The sequence below is a fragment of the Homo sapiens genome, chromosome 8, assembly GCF_000001405.40.
Source record: "Homo sapiens chromosome 8, GRCh38.p14 Primary Assembly".
Classification (NCBI taxonomy): Eukaryota; Metazoa; Chordata; class Mammalia; order Primates; family Hominidae; genus Homo; species Homo sapiens.
Window position 1 is genome coordinate 106,133,046 of NC_000008.11, and position 24,543 is coordinate 106,157,588.

At 34.6% G+C, this 24,543-nt stretch overlaps 1 long non-coding RNA gene across 2 annotated transcripts; it reads right to left on the reverse strand.

Moving 5' to 3' along the window:
- Positions 1–12,634: 12,634 nt before the first annotated feature.
- Positions 12,635–22,460, reverse strand: LOC124902003 (uncharacterized). Of its 2 annotated transcripts, none has more exons than XR_007061048.1 (2): positions 22,213–22,460; positions 12,635–13,472 (listed from the first exon to the last, which is right to left on the reverse strand). It is a non-coding gene; the product is annotated as an uncharacterized LOC124902003 (long non-coding RNA). The 2 variants fall into 2 exon arrangements; XR_007061049.1 differs by lacking the exon at positions 22,213–22,460 and adding an exon at positions 21,992–22,027.
- Between the last annotated feature and the right edge of the window lie 2,083 nt (positions 22,461–24,543).

Consider the following 24,543-nt stretch of genomic DNA (forward strand, 5'->3'; position numbering starts at 1 on the left):
GTGGCAGTTTTGGGGAGATGGAGCCTAGTGGGAGGTGTTTGGATAATGAGGGTGGATCCTTCATGAATAGATTGGTACTCTTCTCCCAGTAATGAGTTCTTGCTCTGGCAAGACTGAATAAGTTCTCATGGGAATGAATTAATCCTGTGAGAGTGGGTTGTTATAAAGCCAGGATGCCCCTGTGGGTTTTGCATCTTTGCATGAGCCTGCTTTCCTTTTGACCTTTTCCACCATGTTGTGATGCGGCACGAAAAGCCTTCACCAGAAGCCGAGCAGAAGGAGGCACCATGCTTCCTGTACTTCCCAGCCTGCAGAACCATGAGCTAAATAAACAATTTTTCTTTATAAATTACCCAGCCTCCGGTATTCTGTTATAGCAACACTAAATGAACTAAAATACCCACAAATATTCATTAATATAAAATAAAAAATGATATGAAATGCTGTCTTGCTGCTGAGGAAGACTGCAGTTCATCTTCTGTCTCTCTAAATACTGAAGGATATTTATACAAGACGCAATATAGACAAAGCTATTTTTCATCATATGAAACAAAATTATCCTTCTGTGGAATTTTGTTTTTTGCTTATATTAGATGAGAGAACTAAAACTAAATTTCCATTAGTACCTCATATTCTGTGTACCTTCAAAATTGTGTCAACTTACTTTCAGGCTTGGGAATTTATTTTCTTTCATAATTTTACCTTGGACTTGGTGCACGGGACAACCAAAAGTGTAGTGTCCGTCACTATTTGCTCTGGACAAATTGGTTTCTAGGAATTACTGGCAGTTTTCCTAGATAAACATGAAGATTCTGAAAATAAACACATATTATCTGTAAAGACACCTAACATGAGAACCTCACAGGAGCTTAGAGTTGGCCAACAATCATATTCATTCATTCATTCACAAACAATTTTAACTATTTTTAAGCATTGTGATGGATTTTAAAGGGAAACAAAGATAAATAAGAAATAGTCCCAGATCCCTAAGATCTCCCTTTCTATTGAATGAGACAGATACCAGATTAAGTAATTATAATAATGAGTTGTTATGAGAGCACTGAGGAAGAAAACCAAACCCAGCCTTTGTTACAACCGTGACCCTCTTCCATAGCTTAAGGCCAAATCACACATGGATTTATTTATTTATTTATTCCCCAAAGACTTATTGAATAGTGTATTAAAAGATGCGGACAAAAAGCTAAACCAGGCATAGACACCAACTCCCTAGCAACACATATTCTTGCGGGGAATACGAATATGTATGCAAAAGACTGATGTACAATGTAAAGAATATAACGATTAAGGCACATACCATTCTTCAATGTTTGATAGCTCACTTGGAAGAAATTCCTCTATTGCCAAACATGAATTCTTCAAAAAGGGCACACCTTTATTTCTTCTTCTGTTATCCAAACTAAAGACACAGAAAAGTTCGTTACCATCCCTCACTTACTTGACCACAATTCTGTGGCTGTAACTAAGGAAACAAATACACTTAGAATTTAAGATTCTAAGGATGGAAACTAACTTGTAGGTACTTTGTCTCTAATAGGAATTCTTATTTCAGGCTTGGAATGTGAATATAGCTTCCATCTCAATGGAATATAAAAAGTGCTTCAGTGTTGAAATTCTCTGCGCACTCCTAGAAAAAGAAAATATATGTATTAAAAAATCTGCAGAGGACTTTCTGACAAAACAACTTACTTGGCCTTTCTTCACTGAAACATTCCAGTTGAATCAGTGTGTTTACATCAACCTATTAATATTTCACGAGTACTTACAATGTTTAAGGTATTCTTCTAAGTATCCTCAGAAGTTCAGGTTATAATATTATAGGACAAAGATGTTCATATGCCTGCTGCACATTAATATACCAATACACTCAAATAGCAGGGTTTGCAACAGAGAAAGAGTTTAATAATCACAGGGTGTTGAGTGAGGAGGTGGGAGGAGACCCTCAAATCCATCTCCCCAGTGGGGTTCTGGGTGGGGGGTTTTAAGAGAATCATGGAGGGTGACAGGTTGAAAATTGGAGTCATTGCTTGGTTGAGGCAAGGGGGATGAAATCATCAGGATATGGAAACTGCATTCTGTCTTCTTTGTTAAGTCAGCACCTCATGGGGTCCTTCAGACCAGCTGGTATCAGTAAAGTCCTTCAGTAGTTTCATCAGAATGCGGTACCTGAAAGAATATTTCAAAGACAAAACTTGACGTTTTATAATGCTCAAGTTGTTATCTTTACAGCAGTTAAGGGGACTATAATCTGGGTCTGTAAGATTCTAGGACAATAAGCACCAAACAACTATGAGGAAGTAGGCCAGAGAGTAAGCTGACCTAATGATTAATGCTGAATGTACTGTACACTTTATTTATTTTTGTTTCTCTTGCTCCTTTCTCCCTGATTGATTTTATAACGTTTATAGAGATGGTTTCAATAATCTAATTTGGGAGGTTATATATATTATATACAGAAAGAGAATTAGATACAAAGGTATAAGTTGCCTATTACCTAATACTAGGTGTGTATGTGTGTGTGTGCGCATGTGTATAACATAGATATATATAACGTATATATGCTATGTATGTATGTGAGATATGATATATTTATTTTTATATTTTAAATAATTCTATTTATAAAGTTTGATTTACACACCCTTTTTTTCTAAAAATATCTGATTTATAAAATAACAAACACATATACTAAGAATAATTTTGCATATTTCTTTTTTTTTCCTTTGAGGCAGGGTCTCACTCTTTCACCCAGGCTGGAATGCAGTGGCGCTATCATAGCTCATTGCAGCCTCAAACACCTGGACTCAAGTCTCACTCTTTCACCCAGGCTGGAATGCAGTGGCGCTGTCATAGCTCACTGCAGCCTCAAACACCTGGACTCAAGTCTCACTCTTTCACCCAGGCTGGAATGCAGTGGCACTGTCATAGCTCACTGCAGCCTCAAACACCTGGACTCAAGTGATCCTCCTGCCTCAGCTTCCCAAGTAGTTAGGACCACAGGAGTACACCTCCATGCTCAGCTAATTTCTTTTTATTTTTGCTTTCTGTAGAGATGGGGTCTCACTATGTTGCCCAAGCTGGTCTCTAACTCCTGGCCTCAAGGGAACCTCCAGCCTTGGCCTCACAAAGCACTGGGATTACAGGTGTGAGCCACCGTGTCTAACCTAATTTTGCATATTTCTATATCTGCTTTTCCTCTACAGCATCAATGTCTCATATATCACTTGACATTTAATAGGTACTTATTCAATATTTTGGAATGGATCAATGAATATTTTCTGACCAAATATCAGCTGGCAGTGACAGCAATAAACCAAACCACATACTCAGTTTTTATTAAAGTTGAAAACTTTTAAGAGAAAATATGGATGAAAGCTTTTGTAGACTCCTAATATGAAATCTTTGAAACCAAGCATAAATGTGACATCATAGAGGTGATAAGCATTTGATTAACAAGGAAATGTTAAGCTTGTTTACAGTGGAGATATGGAGACTTCATTGCTTTACAAATGGAGAAAAATTTACGAAACCAAAAGATAATTGCTTATGCCACTGAGAAAAAACAAAATAGAATGTCTCCTCCTAATTGACTAATCTTTTCTACTTTTCTGTGGACTATCCAAGGAGGTTAATCTCCCATTCCTATAACTGGTAGCATTTTTAAAATTTTCCCTTGAAATATTGAGAGATTTAAAACCCCAGCCAAGAGAAACCTTTTTCTCAGCAGCATTTTAGTAGTTTATTCCTTATTAAATACAGAAACAACAACAGAAACAAACAAATAACAATAACAAACAAGAAACTCAATTGGAATCTATTGTATCTTTAACTTCAAAATAGATTGAGACATTTTTTAACAGCAGCATCCTAACCTATCCTGAAATACACTTAGAACTAATAAGGGTGCTGGCCTGTTATTTAAGCTCACCTGTTTGTTTTGTTGTTTTCAGAGGTTAGAGGAGAAAATAAACCTCTGATGATTTAGCATGTTTTCACAGGCGACTGTGATGCTCCCCTGCACATCACCTCTAAGCAGATCGTACTTAATCTCTGGGCAGAGAACGACTGTCTCATGCTGTTCGGTAGCAACCTGTAAATCTGATTAAGGAATGGCCCTGACAGCTCCTGTTGAGATTTCCATCCAATTGCCTTCAGTTCCATGTTGATGGATTTATGTGAAAGAGCCTGATGGTATGGAAGAAGCCTGTTTGGGGGACCACAGAAAAACACTGTAACATAATCAGAGGTTTAAGAGAACTATCACAAGGTATTCTTTTCCTGGCATAGAAAATGAATGTAAACCTTGAAGCACTATAGCAGACAATAGGAGTTTTCCAAGTAGAGGCCATATTTACCAAAAGGGTACCTCAAACTGCATGATGATTATGAGTACTGGGAATTCAAATGAACTTTGTCACTATTGCCAGTTTCATGAGAGAAGGATGTCCCTGGTGGAGCACAGATGGCATGTTTGAATGAGAAGCTGATTATGCCAAGAGGTTAGTATGCCTGAGAGCTTCGCTTATTGGTCTGTAAGAACATGAGGGAACCAGCTATGAATATTGATCTGTAAGTAGGATGCAGAAGAGCTAGCTATGAAGAGGAATTTATAACTCTCTCTAAAGCACCTGCGAGAATCAAAGCAACTTGAAATGCATATCCAATATAGGAATTTTAATTCCCCTAGTCTCTTCTGTTCTCTCTAAAAATAACTAGAAGAAATTCCATCTGTTTAAAATGCAGTACACAAAACTAAAAACATGGAACATTAGGAACCGTGTTACTTAAGAAATATTTGCATGCAGAATTAAGAAATAATATACAGGAAACACAGGAATAGTAAAGAATGGAAATCCAAAAAGTTATGGCCAGATCTGCTTAAGGAGCAAAACTAAACTCTGATACTCAACTTATGGTCTTCAACATGGCTCAGCTCCCTTAAATAGTAGCTTTTATTTTGAGAACTGTTGGACCAGTTTGGGCCCTATCTTCTTCAGTACTTAATGGGGACTCCAGATGCAAAAGTAAAAAAAGAAAAAAGGATCTTTGCTGTAACTCTATCATTTATACCTGAATCTCTGATGTTCTCCATGAAGCAATATTAGGCTGTTTCTGCCAAACAAAAAAACCTTACTCTGAGGGCATAAACTTTAATAATGTGAAACTGCTGTGCTTCTTGAAACTGAGCTTTCCTAAAGGCCATAAGCATTTTTGGATGTCTCATCATTAGTAATTAAGATTTATTTATCAATTCTGGGTATATTAAGTTATAGAAAATAAATTTAAAGTACAAGTTCATGATCACACATATAGTGAAATCTAAGAAAAGAAAGCAACTCTGACCTAGAAAAAATTAATCTGAGAAATCTTATTCAAATACACCCGCAAGAGAAATTTTGCTTACATTATTTTAAAATATAAGAGCTGTGAGAGAAGGTTTTGTTTCAGGCCTCTTTTCTTGGCTTATAGATGGCCGTCTTCATGTTCACAGGGTTTTCTTCTTGTATATTAGAGTCTGTCTTCAATTTTTTCCTGTTTGTAAGGAACCAGTCATATTGGCTTACAGCCAGTTCTAATGACCTTATTATAATTTGATAAAGAACTTATATTAGTCTGTTCTCATTCTGCTATAAGGACACAACCGAGACTGGGTAATTTATAAAGGAAAAGGTTTAATTGATTCACAGTTAAGCATGGCTGGGGAGGCCTCAGGAAACTTACAATCATGGTGGAAGGGGAAGCAAACAAGTCCTTCTTCACAGGGTGGCAGGAAGGAGAAGAATGAGAGCTGAATGAATGGGGAAACCCCTTATAAAATCATCAGATCTCATGAGAACTTACTATCATGAGAATAGCATAAGAGAAACTGCTCCCATGATTCAATTACCTCCCACCAGGTCCCTCCCACAACACATAGGAATTATGGGAACTGCAATTCAAGATGAGATTTGGGTGGGGACACAGCCAAATGATATCAGAACCCAGCTCCAAATAAGGTCACATTCTGAGGTCCTAGGGGTTAGAAATTCAACATATGAATTTTTGAGGGACACAATTCAACTCAAAGCAGCACATAATGAATATTCAGTTACTACAAGTGGAATAATTGGTTTTGGTAATTAAGAGTGTATATCACCTCGGTAGACATAGAGTAGGGGTTATGGTTGATTAGTTAGTTGTATTTGTGCCAAAGGGACCCATCTTTCAATTTATGCATAAAAGTTTTAGGCAATATGTGAACTCACAAGAAGAACAGAAAAATGATATAATTACTTATACCCCTATATTTATAAAAATGACTTTCTAATTATATATATATAGTTAGAAAGGCATTATATATAATATGATATATATATATAATATACCTCATAAAGTTTTATTATTTGTAATACTTTACATTTATTTGGCTGGAAATATTTAAAAAGAATTTGTAACCTCTGAAGTATTTATTTTTTACTAAGCATATTCCTCTAAACATTAGAACAAGTGATTTTAGAAATATGAAAGTTTTAATTTAGTCACCAGAGGGAGCTATATGTCACTGTACATAATAACTTAAAGAGAAGATACCAATGTTGTAGAAATTAAAAACATCTATACAAATGAAATTTATAAAATTGAGAAAACCAGAAATAGTGTGGTACTAAGAATAATCCAGACTTGAATAAATTTACCTATTTGACACTCACGGAACATTCTACCCAAAATAGCAGAAGCTGAATGAATGTTCTTTTTTTTCTCTTTTCTTTTTTCCTTTTCTTTCTTTTTTTTTCTTTGAGACAGAGCCTTGCTCTGTTTCCCAGGCTGGAGTGCAGTGGCCCTATCTCAGCTCACTGCAACCTCTGCCTCCCAGGTTCAAGCAATTCTCCTGCCTCAGCCTCCCAAGTAGCTGGGATTACAGGGGTGTGCCACCACGCCCGGCTAATTTTTGTATTATTAGTAGAGACGGGGTTTCACCATGTTGGCCAGGCTGGTCTGTAATTCTTGACCTCAAGCGATCTGACCACCTCGGCCTCCCAAAGTGCTGGGATTATAGGTGTGGCCCACTGTACCCGGCCCAGAATGAACATTCTTTACAAGTGCACATAAAAACATTTATCAAGAGAGACCACATTCTGGCCCATTACACAACTCTCAAAAAAATTCACAAGAATTCAAGACATGCAAAGTTTATCCACTGACCACACTGAAATTAAATTCATAACAGAAAGATTCCTGAAAAAAGTTCTAAAACTATTTGGAAACTAAATAACACTCTTCAGAATAACTCATGTGTTAAGGAAGAAATCAAAAGGAAAATTACAAGGTAGTTTGAGCTGAATGAAAATGAGAATACCACATATCAAATTTGTTGTTTCCCTCTCTGTGTCCATGTGCAGAGGGTGAGAGGAGGAAAAGGAGAATAAAAATAATTATTGGGTACTAGTCTTAATACCTGGGTGATGAAATAATTTATTCAACAAACCCTGTGACCTGAGATTACCTATATAACAAACCTGCACATGTGCCCCTGAACCTAAAGTAAAAGTAAAAAAAAAAAAAAAAATCAAAAAATTGTGGGATGCTGATAAAGCAGAAAACAGGGAGAAATTTATGGAATAAATATCTTTATAAAAAAGAATAACATCTCAAATCAATGACTTCAGCTTTCACCTTAAGAAACTAGATTAAAGAAGAGCAAATTAAACTCAAAATAAGCAGAAAAAACTAAAGTATAAATTCTAAAGTATAAATTTCAGACCAAAATCTAGAAAATAGAAAACAGAAGAGCAATAGAATAAATAAATGAAATCTGAAGTTGGCTACCCATAAAATTGATAAATCTCTAACTAGATGGATCAGATGATCAGAAAAGAGGGAGACACAAATAATCAAGACAAGCGTGAGAGTGACAATATCACTATAGAGTCTACAGAGCTGTTGTTAAACTAAAGTTGGGAACCTGAGTTTTCTAATCTGTGAATGAAAAAAATAATACCTTTGTGTGATAACTGGTCTTCCCCATCCTGGCCTTTACAGGAAAAGTTTGAAGCTCTCTCTTGGGGCCTCTATTGCATTTTTCTATTGACCCCATTGTATTCTAATTATCTCCATATGTATTTGCTATAGTTTGAATGTGTCCTTCAAAGTTCACATGTAGGAAACTTAATCCCCAATACAACAATGTTGGGAGGTGAGACCTAATAAGAAGTCTCTGCCTTCATGAATAGATTAATGTCCTTATCATGGAAGTGGGTTAGTTATGAAGAGAATGAGCTGTTATAAAAGCAAATTTGGTGTTCTCTTACACACTTGCCCTCTTGCTCTTGTTTATTCTTGCTCTTCTTCCTTTTGCCCTGGGATAATGAAGAATGAAGGCCGCACTAGATGCTGGTGTCATGCACTTGGACTTGCCAGCCTCCAGAATCATGATCCAAACAAATTTTTGTTTATTATGAATTGTCCAGTCTGTGGTATTTTGTTATAGCAACATAAAATGGACTAAGACAATATCTTACTCCTACTCTAGACAAAGAGCGTATGCAGACAGGTGCTGAACAAGTGACTTGAAAATATAAAAGTATAAAATATTATAGGTTGTAAGAAGTGTAACACAGATAGAAATAAGAATGAACATTAGGAGAGTCAGCAAATCTACTCTGAGTGTATTCTCAGGAGAACAGCCTGGTAGCCTCTCTGGAAGAAAAGACTCATTAGAAATAACAGAAGGGAGAGGCTAAATCTCTTCCTTGCCTATTACTTCTCATTTGCTTTTTCCTGACTATTGTTAAGATTGAATATCTTTTAATACATGTTAGCTGCCTCTCTTTCCTCTTCAAAGAATTGCATTACTATATTTTTTACCCATTTTTAATTACTTTTGCTTCAAAAATTCATAAAAGTGCATTATATAATTGGGATTTTAATCCTTTGAGTGTTATGGGTAGATTGCAAATATTTTTCTCAAGCTAACATTCATCTTTTGCGGTTGCTTATAGTGTCTTTTACTGTTATGTCTTTTTATTTATGTTTTAGGTAGTTAAGTGAGGTATGTTTCATTTTATTTTCTTTATAGCATCTGAGTTTCCCACTTCACAATGAAAAAGCTATCCAAAATGTGATAAATGAAATCTGCTATTTTTCTCTAACATTTATTTCATACTATAGGCCTAAACTCTTAATCCATCTGGAATTTATTGTTCATATCATATGAGATAGAGTCTACCTTTATTTTCTTCTAAATTAAGTGCCAGTTTTACCAGCACCTTTATTAAATAAAACAATCATTTTAATTCCTGCAGAATTAAAATGCTAACATTACTATATATTGAGTTTTCACTTACATTTGAAAATATATATTAACATTCTTTATTTTCCCCTCAACATGTTTGTTTCTTCCTAGCACTGATGCTAGTAAGAAAGATGCATTGTTAAGTTTATAGTGAAATTAATGAATTGCCACTAGTTTTTTAGTTAGTTTTATTGGTAATTTTAGATTTCCTGACTGTATAATTATATCATCTGCAAATGCACATTTTTGTCTCTCCTTTTCTATTTAAAACCTTTTTCTTGTTTTATCACTGTGCTTGACATAATCACCTTCAATATTAAAACATAAATTTGGGTATTCCTTTCTTATTCCTGATTTTAATGGAAATTTCTTTATTATTTAGTATTGGTTATAATATTTTCTCTTACTTTTGACAAATAGTCTTTATTGTATTTCAATATTTTCCTATTTGTGTTTTTTTATAATTTAAATTTTTTTTAATTCAAGATAACGTATCGAGGAAAGGATAACTAATGTAACTATACTAACCAACTGAATTTAATCATGGATAATATTCTACTTTTTAGTCAATGTTTTTATTTGGAATACCTACTAAATTTTATTGAAGCCTTTTTATTATCAACTAATATAAGCAATTCCACCTTCCTATAATTTGTGGATATATTTAATCATATTAATAATGATGATATATTTCTTAATGTGATCTCAAATTTATGGTCTTAGAATAAGCCCTATTTGACCATGTTGGATTACTCTCAACATACTGATGAATTTAATATGTGGATATGAGTTTTTACGTATATATAAATGAATTTGATTGATGTTTTCTATACTAACTCATAATACATGAGTTAGTACATAATACTAACTCATAATACATGAGTTAGTACATAATACTAACTCATAATACATGAGTTAGTACATAATACTAACTCATAATACATGAGTTAGTACATAATACTAACTCATAATACATGAGTTACTATATACTACAAACTCATAAAAAGTGAGTTAGTACATACTACATATTTGTATTAAGCTTATGCGTCATACAATTTTATTCTATGTTTTAAAATCATTTAAACGTCATAGGAAGTGTATTCTCTTTAAAAGTTAGGTGGAGGGCAGTGGCTCATGCCTGTAATCTCAGCCCTTTGGGAGTCCGAGGCAGGCGGATCACTTGAGGTCAGGAGTTCCAGACCAGCCTGGCCAACATGGCGAAACCCCATCTGTACTAAAAATACAAAAATTAGCCAGATCAGGTAATCCCATGTAATCCCAGCTACTTGGGAGGCTGAGGCAAAGGAATCGCTTGAACCCGGGAAATGGAAGTTGCAGTGAGCTGAGATCGTGCCACTGCACTCCAGCCTGGGTGACAGAACAAGACTCCCTCTAAAAAAAAAAAAAAAAAAAAAAAAAAAAAAAAAAAAAAGGTCAAATCTAATCACAAAACTAGCCCTTAAAATGGAGACTTTTCAATGATCTTTACAAACTCTTTAACAGTGATTGATCTATTTAGATGATCTGCCTCTCCTTGGGTCAACCTTTTGTAGTATTTATTTTAGTAGAAAAAAATCATTTTCTCTAGATCCTCACATTTCTTGCCATATATTATTTTAAAGTTATACAGAGTTGCATAAGATAATATCTCATAATTCTAAAATTACTTCTATATCTGTGATTATGTTTCCTCAGTCTTAATATAGAATAATTTTCTTTTTTCTTTTTTTGAGACAGAGTCTTGCTCTGTTGTCCAGGCTGGAGTGCAGTGGTGTGATCTCAGCTCACTGCAACCTCTACCTCCTGGGTTCAAGACATTCTCCTGCCTCAGCCTCCTGAGTAGCTGGGATTACAGGCGCCCACCACCGTGCCATGCAAATTTTTGTATTTTTACTGGAGAGCGGGTTTCATCATGTTGGCCAGGCTGGTCTCGAACTCCTGACCTCAAGTTATCTGCCTGCCTCGGCCTTCCACAGTGCTGGGATTACAGGCGTGAACCACCGTGCCCAGCCTGCTTTCTTTCTTTATTTCCTTAATCTGGATTGCCATAGTTTATCTTTTTGATTATACCTTTCAAAGTGTTGGCATTTGGCTTTATTTATTTTTTCTAATACTTTTCACTTGTTTTTGAATTTTTTTTAACCTGGGCTTTAAAATAAAGTAAAATTTTTATTTCTGGGTTGGTAACAAGGTTCTTAATCAAAAACTAGTTTTTAGACTTAAAATATTGATGTTTCACTATGAAAGGAAAGGTCAAAGCCTCAAGGAGGAATCAGCTGTTTATTGAATATCTTCTATGTACATGATACCCAGTGGCACTAATCATTTCCAGCTTCCCTAGCAAAGCTGAAATATCTCAGTGAGGAAGGTGATAAATGAAAGGCACATGTAGGCCTTCATAAATAACATATTAATTAATTCATTGAACTAGACATGTTTCAGCTCTTCACTGCAGGCCAGCTGTGTGAACTCCCAATACCTTTTTTGTAGCTTCTCGTGGTGTGGCTAGATTCTTTTATCCTACTAAATTTGAAATTGTGGAACATAGACAAAAGTAATCCCTAGTTATTAATGGCATAACAAATCCACAAATGCATGGAGACTTAAAGCAGGACCAAAGTAAAGTAGGCATCTCTTATCTCTAAGATAATCTTGTCTCTTGTTTCTGTCTCTTTTCAAATAATTTATGTTGTACTCCCAGCAATTTTTTTAAAGAATTTATTTTAGGAAATACTTCTGTTTAAACTCATGGCAACCATTGTGGTAGTCTGAAAAAAATGGCCTCCCAAATATATAGTCACCTTCTAATCCCTGAAACCCCTGAATATAATCTTATGTGTCAAAATAGTAATGTTATCTTATTTGGAAAAAGGCTCGTTACAAATATGATTAAGTTAAGAATCTTGAGATGAAGATAATATTTTGGATCATTCTGGACCCTAAATGCCATAGTAGTGTCCTTAGGAGAGAGAGGCAAAGGGTGACACACACACAAACAAGACACACACATACAAGTGAAGTGAAGACAGAGGTAGAGACTGAAGTAATGTGGTCACAAGCCAAGGAACACCAAGAAATACCTGCAGTGACCAGAGCTGTAAAAGTCAAGGTACAGATTCTTCTTTAGAGTATAGACACCTTCATGTTAGATTCTGGTCTCCGTAACTGTAGGACAATACATTTCTGTTGTTTTAAACCAAATTTGTAGTAATTTGTTATGGCAGCCCTAGAAAACCACTTGAACCACTTTATGTCTTAAATTCAAACTTTTTTATATGTCTAGGAGAAAGCCATGGGGTCTATTACAGTAATATTTTTTTTTATTCAGGATAAGAAATAAAATGCTTCTTCAATTCACAAAGATTTATTTTAAACAGTCGTGTTTCAGTAACATAAAAGAAGGCCAAAGGCAAATCACAAAAATGATATTGCTCAAATCCTAAACCCTGGGGTACTGCCTTCTCAACTCCATATTGATTATCAACCAATAAAGTCAGTTTTCATTTAAATCAATTAGTGGAAGAGCAGACAGGAGTCCCACTGATTTTTTTTTTCTTTTGTTTTTTTATATATCCACAAGTTAAAGTGATACTGGATTGGAGAGAAATCATGAAATAGCAAAAGCCTACTGAAGTCAAATTTTATTTACCTATATCTTCTAATTTTTTATGCATGCTAAAAGTTAAAGTGTGTGTGTGTGTGTGTGCGTGTGTGAGAGAGAGAGAGAGAGAGAGATTATGTGAATCAGGTTCTGTTATAATAAGTACCAAGGAATTACCTTGTTTTGATTATAAGAGCCTGTTTAAACAATTATCACCAGCTTCTTTATAGACCTCATCTTCAATATTTACAATAGTTTTGAAAAGTAAATTTTAGTTGTTTCATTTTGGAAATGAGGAAAATGAGAATTAGAGAGGTTAAATTACTTCCTGAAGGTCATAAAGCAAATAAGATATAAATTAAACTTTGCTTCTTAGCCTGTGTTCTTTCCATTATACGGCACTTCCTCCTAACTCTGAGACCTGCTATCACATATTGCTTTGAAAATAAAACAAAACAAACTTAGGATAGGGCTTGAGTCTCTTTGTCTTTTTCTTCCTCTTCCCTATTCTTTATTTTTTTTCCTTCTTCTCTTCCTCTTTCTACTTCTTTTCTTCTTCCTCATAGATAGGGTCTTTGAGATGGCCTGGAGATATAATAAAAATCATGTTTTCATAACAAAATATATACTGAGATCCCATATCTGCATTCAACATAGTAATAAAATTCATGTTAGCGTCCAATTTTCTTGTGTTTTACCTATTGTGCTCTGCTGTATCTTGTTATTTTGTTCTAAAACTCTTATAAGTATTACATTTACTTAGTAAGATATTGAATCCTCTGATTTTGCCTCTATTTTTCATTCCCTGTCTCAGAAAATGGTATAAAATCTTTCCAATTGCTCAAGTTACAAATCTCCAAATCATCAGCAACTGTACTCTCTCATGTCACCCAATCTCCTTTTGCACCATATACAGCTGCTTGGCAAATTCTGTGTATTCTACCTGAAAATTACAATTCTTAAATTTTAAGAGTGAAGGTAATAGATCTATTGAAAGTCTAATAAAAACTCATTCCCCAAAAAATACACACAAAAAAGTATATACAGTTTCAGGGAGTTCACAGACATCCCGGAACCCATCTTTAGGCCCCGGACCTGAAAACCCTTCCCTGCTAAGTATTTTCTCCTTCATCCATCTCAGTTTTCCATCCCCACTCCAAGCTTTAGTTTTCTTCAACTTGCACTTGAGTTATAGTTTAGTCTCCCAACCGATTCTCCAACTCCTGTCTCCAATCTATTCATTAACCAGGAGCCAAGATAAACATTCTAAAATAGATATTTGAGCATGCCAAATCTTGTCAATGTGCCCTTCAGCTAGCTCAGGCTGGTTGGCAAGAGTTGCATATCTTCCCAGCTCACAGTTCAGTGATGTCCAGTTGGCAGCTTGAAGTCAGTCACAGTGGGAGTATTTACAGTATAAAAGTTGTCAAATGTGACAAATCAAGTTTTTAGGCAAGACGTTAACCAGCACACCACTGCCTGTATTTTCAAAGGTTAGTGTTGGTCACTATCTAAAGTCCAAACTCTTTAGCATGTTAGACCTCTATCGTCTGGGCTTAAACTTGCTTTCTAGCTCCATATCTCACTATTCTCTGTGGCCTAGAAAACTTAAACTCCAACAACACCAAGCTACTCATAGTCACTGAATACACAAAATGGTTTTCCACAATGTGCCAGTTATGATGCAAAGCAACTTTTTCATCAACAGCCAAATCTACTTTGTTCAAAGTCAATCTTAAATGTTGCCCTTTTTGTCAAGTCTTCTCTAAGACTCACATTCAAAATCAATCCCTACTCTGTGCTCCAATCCCAGTCCTTTACTCCTCTCATGACATTTAACAATTGTTTAATAAACATTTATTGAGTGCCCTCTAGGCACTGGCAATATATTTCTGTCTGTTATAAATTCATTGCAAATTCCTTTGGGGCAAAGATTGCATTTTGTTTATTCTCCAGATTGACCCTTCATACTAAGTATAGAACTTTTCCATTGTATATGTGATGTGCAATAAATGTTTGCTGAATTTAATCAAAATCCTCTATTGTTCCAATGCAATTTAATACCTCTTTTGACTTTTAACAGAGTCCTAGGTAGTGAGGCTAGAATGAATTCCATATATGAGTAGCATCTAACGTTCAGCAAAGTTGAAAATGGGTATCAACTATTAACAAAGCAGAAGACAATATCTATACCAGATACTTTCATCTTTAATGCACCCAAAGGAGTACTTCTGCATAATTAATTTCTTGTTCTGAAGGTTAATTTGCAACCTGCGTTCATAATGTTATTTGACTGTATGCTGTGAACCCCTATGGAGAACAGTTACTGGTAAAACTACTTTTAGAAGCAGGCTTGAGGACCTATGATTTTGCCTAGCTTTGGTGGGTATTAGCTGAGCTAGATGTCACATCTTTCCTATGACTCATTCCTCACAGCAGTCAGGAAGAATGAATATTTCTATTCCTAAATTCCCAAAGAGGAAAGTAAGGAAAAGAAGACTGTGTGGTTTGTTCACATTTAGCATGAAATGTGAATAGCATATGCACTGACACAAAGCAACCAGACAGCATTTTAATTGCTCATCTAACCTCCAGAAAGAGTCACCATCTGCTGAAATTCTGAAGATTAAAACATATAAAACCTGACAGAAAACTGAAAGCACATAATAAACCACACAGCCTAGTCACAAATCTTGGAAAACATCCACAGTAAAATGTAATTTACCTACAACTAAGAAAAGTATAACACCACCAGTTAAAAGAGTGCTGGGAGGCATTTATATGGGGATAGAACAAGAACTGAAAGAGCGTTTTAACCTTTGAAGGATAATGCACAATGAAAGCCTTCTTCTCTGTGGCTGAGGCAATGATCCTCCCACCTCCTAACCCCAAAATCCAACCTTGTTCCTGCAAAACCTCTATTTTTATTACTGAGATTAATTTCAATCAAATTATCAAAGGCTAGATGACATTGGACCATCTTCATAGAGCCAAGCTAGTCATCTCTGGAAATGCCAAAGTTTTGCCACAAAATCAGTTGTTACTTTTTGTTTTTTTTTTTGAGATGGAGTTTTGCTCTTGTCACCTGGGCTGGAGTACAATGGCATGATCTCGGCTCACTGCAACCTCCGCCTCATGGGTTCAGGCAATTCTCCTGCCTCAGCCTCATGAGTAGCTGGGATTACAGGCGCCCCCCACCACACCCAGCTAATTTTTGTATTTTTAGTAGAGATGGGGGTTTTACCATGTTGGCCAGGCTGGTCTCGAACTCCTGACCTCAGGTGATCCACCTGCCTGGCCTCCCAAAGTGCTGGGATTACAGGTGTGAGCCACTGCACCTGGCCCAGTTGTTACTTTAAGGTATATATTTAGAATCTCATTTTACAAGTAAAAAGTGTCAATACTAAAGCTGAACTCCATCCCCATGTACTTCTAGTTGCATGACATAGTTCTCAAAGTGTTTAAAGTCTACTAATGAAATATACATGAATGTATCAGTGGTTCCTCAAATCTTTTTTCTGCTCCATGAAATCATGATTGATTAGACAGTAATTAGATATAGTTGAAATTTCAGCTGAACCCTGCCTCAACTATAATCATCACTCAATAAATATTTATTAATGATAATAATAATAGCAGTTAGTACTCCTTGCAGCAGTCTAAGAGTTTTACATCATTAATCCTTTTAATCTTCAGCACATTCCTTTGAGGTCAGTGCCATCATCAGCCCCACTTTACATTTGAGGAAACTAGGCATCAAAAGTTGTTTTGTCTATTTTTGTGTTTGTGTTTTAGATGTGCTCAATATCACAGCCAGTAAGTATTAAAGCTGGGATTCCAACCTATGTGGCCTGGAGCCAGTGTCCACATACTTAACCACTATTTTAAACCTAAGGGAAAAAAGTTCTGATGAATTTTTAATAATAGAGGAGGTATGAAGATAGGGAAGCAGAGGTCAGAGGGATGTGACTGCTGGCTTTGAAAATGAAAGACAGCCACAGGCCAAGAAATAGGGGCAGCCTCTGGAATCTTGAAAAAAATAAGGAATAGGTTGTTCCCTAGGTTCTCCAGAAGGAATGCAGCCCTGCCACAGCTTGATTCTAGACCCATAAGACCCATGACAATGACTTCTGACCTCCAGAACTGTAACATAATAAATTTGTGTTGTGTGATGCCATTAAGTTTATGGTAATTTGTTACAGCAGTAACAGGAAACTAATAGAGACAGTCTTTTGGCTTCAGGTCTCATTTTATTTTTTATTTTATTTATTTATTTTATTTATTGAGACAGGGTATTGCTCTGTTGCCCAGGCTGGAGTGCAATGATGTGATCTCGGTTCACTGTGGCCTCAATCTCACAGACTTGGGCTTAAGTGATCCTCCCACCTCAGCCTCCTGAGTAGCTGGGACTACAGGCATGCACCACTGCACTTGGATAATTTTTTAATTTTTTGTAGAGATGGGTTTTTTTCATGTTGCCCAGGCTGGTCTCCAGCTCTCATTTTAAGTATCAACTCTGCAGATTTTCCCTCGTCCCTTGTATAAAAGTTTCTCCTCTTACTCTGTTGTATCACCAGAGATTTGTTGTTTTTTTCTCTTCAAAAACCGTAGTGCCATTTTAATTGTATAAACTACCCTAATGTTTCTCTTGCATTGAACTGCAAACTTCAGTAAGGAAACATGTCTGTTTGCACTTTGCCGAGCACAGTAAATGATATAAGGAGCACTCAATAAATATTCATTAAATGAGGGAAAGATTATATGAACAAGTTGAGTCTTGAAATACAGCAACTTTTAGATGAAGTTCTAGAACAGAAAAACACCAGGAAACAGAAAGTTGTCCAATGGGGAGAGAGATGAAAAAAAGGGGGATGCAAAGGCAAAGGCTGAAACTGTCGGAGAGGAGTCCCACTAAATATTCCTGACTTTGTTCTGCAAGCAAAATGATGCCATTCCAAGAGGTTCTTTTAAATGGGAGATTAAAGTTATTAAATTTGTTTTATTTTAAAAAAATCTTTCAATATCATGGAATATAGTTGGAAGGGAGCAAGACTAGAGGCATAAAAATCATTCTAAGATTTTTATATTAGTCCAGCTTGGAAATTCTGAGAGTATAAACCAAAGGTGATGAAAAGAAGGCAATTAATTTACACAAGAGAAAAAGAGTAACTTTTTTTTCTTTTAAACGGCATGCTGTTGGCAAAAATTAAAAAACACACGTTAATTTAAGTAAATAATTGTATTAGTCTTTCAATTATTTTTTGGCTCAATAATTTGGATTTCCAGAGAACTTACGGTCATCAGAGTTCTAATGTTATTTTTTGATGTTATTTGGCGCAATCATTTAGATTGCTAGGGAACTTTTATGGTCATCACAGTTCTAAGGATATTTTTAACATAAAACAACATTTCACAAACTTTAATCACTCAAAAACCAAGATTATAAATTTTGTTCCTCCAATGGAAATTTTGTTCCTCCAATGGAAATTTTGTTCCTCCAATGGAAATTTTGTTCCATTACCAGCAAAAATGAGAAAACCTAGATATTTTATATATATATATATATATATATATATACACATATGTCATTCGAATGCTAACCATAGATGTATCATCTGTACTATTGCATATATAATATTTTTGTTATATTGTTCAAATTTTTTTATGGTTCATTTTATTTAAAGCAAAGTTAAAGCAGACATCCTAGGCAACACCAATGAAAACATAAGTGTGGTTGTATTTGCACATATCAAAATATATATTTAGCTATTAAAATACATGGTATTTATTTTCCATCTAAAATCATTTCACCATGTCCCCTCTAGTGGTAAGTGACATATGAACAGCTAATCTGTATGAATATGCCTCTTTTAAAATGGAACAAATTGGTTTTACAAAAGAAGGTAAATAAGAGAAAAAGTATGAAAATTTTGGCTTCAATCCTACCCCACCAATGGTTGCTGTACAAACAGAAGTGAGTCAACTGAGTCTAACACACTCATGTGAGAAATAATAGTAGCAGTCAGTGAATCTAACACGTTGCTTTTATAACTGCTAATATTCTATGACTATGCCAGCTTCCAACTTTGCTTTATATTCCTCTAATGGAAATTGTTTTCCATTACCAGCAAAAATGAGAAAAAACAGAAATTTTAGAAATTTTTTAGTCATTAAACTGCTAGCTGGTCCTAAAGAGAATATTTTCTCTAGATAAAAATCGAAGTCTTCTACTATTTTCTGTGTAAGTTCTAGTTTCCAAACAAATTTCCAGGGTTTTTACTGTTGCTGTGTTGTTTTGCTGTGTTTTGTGGTCCTAGATGTATGGCTACAACAGGAGAAGCAACAACATATACAATTCACTATGGGATTTTAGGTTGTAAAGGGTAGGATATGATATTGCAAAATGAATGAGAATCCTCTTAAATCTGAGTAAACTAAAATTTATAAATCATATTTTTCAACATATTCCATCAAGTTAACACAATGTAAATATAATTTCAAATATTGTAATGATTAGTTTAAGATGTGAAATTGCAAATTTTATGTAAAACAAGTGGAAAGTTTGCTTTCATAATTCCTCCCTTCGGTGTAATTTTATCCCACTGGCATTTACTGAATATTCACACAATGAATTAACCGAATCAAATATGCCTTTATCAAACCATTGTATTATAATCAACTAATACGTAATTCAGCAAAATCTCATTTTCTGATTCTATTATTTTGGGATATGTAGTAGTTCAAACAGGTTGAGCTTTAATTTACCTTCCTAGATAATATCTTTTAGTTGCAAAGTTCCAATAGTGTAAACAAGGGAACTATTTAACCTGCTTAAAAGTTAAATTCTGCCAACTACTTAGAGAATTTATGAAAGAAAAATACTGCTTTAATTGCAGTATTTGCATATAAGCAAAGGGTTAGCTATTTAAAATATTTTTCGGCATCTATGCCCAGCTAATACCTTATGATTTGGTTCTATGCATAGAAGTTTAAATGTATAAGAATTATAAATACTTACATACCTATAATTTAGAATATTTATGAACATAAATATACTTGGAAATATTTATACGTATATATATGCATATAAGTGTGTGTGTGTGTGTGTGTGTGTGTGTGTGCGTACATATAGTCAGCCCTCTGTAGCATAGGTTATGTATTCATAGCTTCAAACAATCACAGTAAAAAATATTTGATAAAAAATGGGTGCTTGCATCTGTGCAAAACATGTAAAAACTTTTTTTCTTGTTATTAGTCCCTAAACGGTACAGTAAAACAACTGCTTAACATAGCACTGACATTGTATTAGGTATTATAAGTACTCTAGAGATGATTTAAACTATACAAGGGGATGTTCACAGGTTGTATGCAAATAATACACCATTTCATATAAGGGACTTGAGCATCTGTGGATTTTGGTATCTGCCCAGTGGAAAGGGGCGTTAGGGTGGGGTAGGCTTGAAACCAATCCCCCATGGATATGGAAGGATGACAGTGTATGTACATGTACAACTTATACAGTACTCTCCTAGGTACTCTACTTAATACAACTTTTTTTTTGTTTCTTACAGCTTAGATATTCACTATGAGAATTAATTCCATGTGATAATCCAAAGGCAGGTAAAATATATAAAAATATGTGAATATTATTTTACTGTATTATATCATAAATACATAGTTTTTAACTAGAAAGAGATATCCATGGGAATATAATTCTAAATGAAATATAGGAAAACCACAATATGAAATATTTATGAGATCAAAATGAAAGTAAAATGCTGATTCATACTTTCATATATATATTTTAATACCTTTATAAGTAAGAAGAAAATCTCATTAACTTTCATGAATTTATTTTTATATATCTTAGAAGCATGTTAAAAATTTGAAAACGGTTGGGAAATTTTGAAATATATATAATACTTTAATATGTATTATTATGCGTGTGTTATATGGCATTATAAACATATATCACAAATGTAAAATTTCTCTTACTTCACATATGAGAATATACATTTCTCAGTTTATCATCCCTGTGGTCAAAACCCAGCCATGTCTAAACTATGAAAATCCAAATAGAACTGACTTTTCTTGCTATTTGTGACAGAATATTCTATCTAATCAACACTTTAAAGTTTCCACATCTATGTTAAGAATAAAAGTTTGTTCTTCACATAGGCAGATTTCAGAATTATGATTTAACTAACTCTCACCATTGTTGTTTCTCTCACTGCTTTTGAACTTTTTACAACTGAAATTTTTTATGACGCTCTAAAAATAGGCATTTATAGTATGTTGGATTCAGTAACTTGGGTTCCAGAATTTCAGCGAAGTAAACTAGAAATAAGAAATGGCTCTTAAATTCTGAAGTTAATTAAAATCTGCCTATGTTTTTAGTAAATGAACTTATTCTACATATTAAAAGGCTTAAAGAAAATAACGATGAAAATAACTTGAAATCTGAGTACAGATGAAGAATTTTTTTAAAGAAGATAAAACAAAGTTGACTAATTCAGCCATCTGAATAAACATCTGAAAGATCCATGATTAAGCAGCTTTTAATCCTCCTATTATTTAAAAATCTGATTAAGAGAGTAATTTGTAGTCACTGGAGAAAATTTGGAAACCACAAAAAATTATAATGGGAAATCATAATCACTTTCTGAATTGACGTATACATACATACATACATACATACATACAAATACTTTTTTTTATATAGCTAGGATCACAATATACACTGTACAAACATTGCCTTAAACATTTTATCACTATTATTTTTCTTGCCATTATATTTTCTTTGCTGACATAATTTTAATCTTTGTAGAATACAAATAGTATATCAAAAGGGTATTCTAAAATTTGTTTTTATCATTTTCTAAAGTTAGATTGTTTCCAATTTTACTAATTTTAATAACACTGTTGCCTAACATACTTGTAAAACTTTTTAACTGGAACATGGATTATATTTGAAATCTTTTTTCTTTTGGAAGGCCAAGGTGAGAGGATTGCTTGACACCAGGAGAGACCAGCCTGGGCAGCAAAAGACGACCCTGTCTCTACAAAAAATAAAAGTAAACATAGTCAAGTGCAGTGGTGCATACCTGTAGTTCCAGCTACTTCGGAGGCTGAGATGGGAGGATCATTTGAGCCCAGGAGATCGAGGCTGCAGTGAGCTATGATTGCACCACTGCACTGTAGCCTGGACAACAGAGAGACCCTGTCTAACATGAAATGAAATAAAATAATTTTAAAAATAATAAAAATAAAATAAAATTATTTTTCTTCTTTCCAACGTCACTACCTCTATCCTTATCCAACTTACCTTTGAGTGGCCAAGCCTTTCAGTTCTGTAAACCAAGCAATCCACATTCACTGTTACCCACTACAATACAAATGCCACCTAAACAAATAGCCAGTGTCACCTTCTTAAAACACTAATAATATGGTGTTTCCTGCCGTAATTAAGCCCTTTACAGACTGCTCATCATTCTTGGGATAAAACCAAGCTTTTTTACGTGTTAAAAACATGCCCATTTGCCCACCCCTCCAATCTCATCTGAAGCTGGGCTGCTCTTCCTTTACAAAGTTCCTATCATTCTAGAATTCTCATAATTCCTCCTTGGTGCCAATATGAATTCTCTCCCAACATGCAACCTGTTCATGTGCCATTCTATCTGGAACACTATTCTCCTCCCTCTTTACCTAGCCAATAGTTATATATTCTTTGTGTCTTATTTTAAATGTCACTTCCTCTAGGAAAGCATATTTTATATGCCATTCTAGCTCCCTGAAGTTCTTCATAACACTTATCACAATGTATGAAATTATTTTTCTTTTAGAATGTATTTTTAATTTTATTTTTTATTAAAATATTATAGTTCTACACATTTATGTACATATATTTTGATACATGCATACAGTGTGTAATGATCAAATCAATATAATTGGGTATTGATCGCTTCAAATATTTATCATTTTTTTGTGTTGGGGACAGTCCAAATCTTGTCTTCGAGTTCTTTTGAAATATACAATAAATTAGTTAACTGTTGTCACCCTACTGTGCTATCAAACACTAGAATTTAGTCCTTCTAACTGTATTTTTATATCCATTAACCAACCTTTCTTCAACTCTACCCACCCTCTCCTTTCCCTGCTTTTGGTAATCACCGTTCTATTTACCACCTTTGTGAAATCAGTTGTTTCAGCTCCCACATATGAGTGAGAACATGGAACATTTGTCTTTCCGTGCCTGGCTTATTTCACTTAACCTCCTTCAGGTTTGTACATGTTGCTGCAAATAACAAGATTTTATTATTTTTTATGGCTGAATAATATTCCATCATTTGTCCTTTTTCTACACACCTTCCTGTATTTCACTGTTGTCATTCAATAATACTACAGGATAGTCTCTAAGACAAGTATTCATTTTTTTATGGCCACATGATATTCCATGCTACAGATGAATGCTAATATACTCAATCATTTCTCCTGTAATCTCAGCACTCTGGGAGGCCAAGCTGGGCAGATCACATGAGGCCAGGAGTTCAAGACCAGCCTGGCCAATGTGGTGAAATCCCATCTCTAGTAAAAATACAAAAATTAGCCAGGCATGGTGGTGCCTGCCGTAATCCCAGTTGATTGGGAAGCTAAGGTGGGAGAAATTTTGAACCTAGGAAACAGAGGTTGCAGTGAGCCATGCTTGCACCACTGCACTCCAGCCTGGGCAACAGAATGAATCCATCTCAAAAAAAATTAAATTATTTATCTATTATTGAATATTAACTTTGTTCCCAGTTTTTAGCTACTCTGCACAATGATGAAATAAAAATCCTTACAGATATACACTTTATGTGCTGATGCTTTATCTCTAGTAGCTAGTATCCAAGGATTATATACCACTTTTAAGAACACATGTATTTTATATTGTTATAGATGTGGTCAGATCAAGTTCTTTTAAAAGGCTGTAAAGTCTTATATTTCTACAAGTGATATATAAAATTCTATTTTCTTCATGTACTGGCCAGAAATTATAAATATATTTACAGCGTAATGAGCATGAAACTATATATCATGGTTATTTAAATTTGCATTCCCCTTACTGTTAATGAAGCTGGAAATCTTCCTATGAATTTGTTGCCTATTTGGATTTATCCTTTCCTGTGTATTGCCTATCTACTAGATTGCCTATTTTCCTTTGCCTTGTTTTTCTTTGTCACTTTGTAAAATATTTTTGGTATATTATAGATATTAACTGTGTGCTATATATATTACATTGTTTTTTATTCCAGATCAAACATTTATGTATCAACATTGTAATATTTTGTATAAAAATTTCACATTTCAAATAGTCAAAGATGTTTATTCCTTCTTATATGTCTCTGCTTTCTCTGTGTTGGTTAAGCAAGCATCTTTTTGATTTCACATGCATTTTTAATGTTTTTCACAAGATGTTTAATGTTTTTTTTATTATTATAAGTTTTAGGGTACATGTGCACAATGTGCAGGTTAGTTACATATGTATACATGTGCCATGCTGGTGTGCTGCACGCACTAACTCGTCATCTAGCATTAGGTATATCTCCCAATGTTATCCCTCCCCCCTCCCCCACCCCACAACAATCCCCAGAGTGTGATGTTCCCCTTCCTGTGTCCA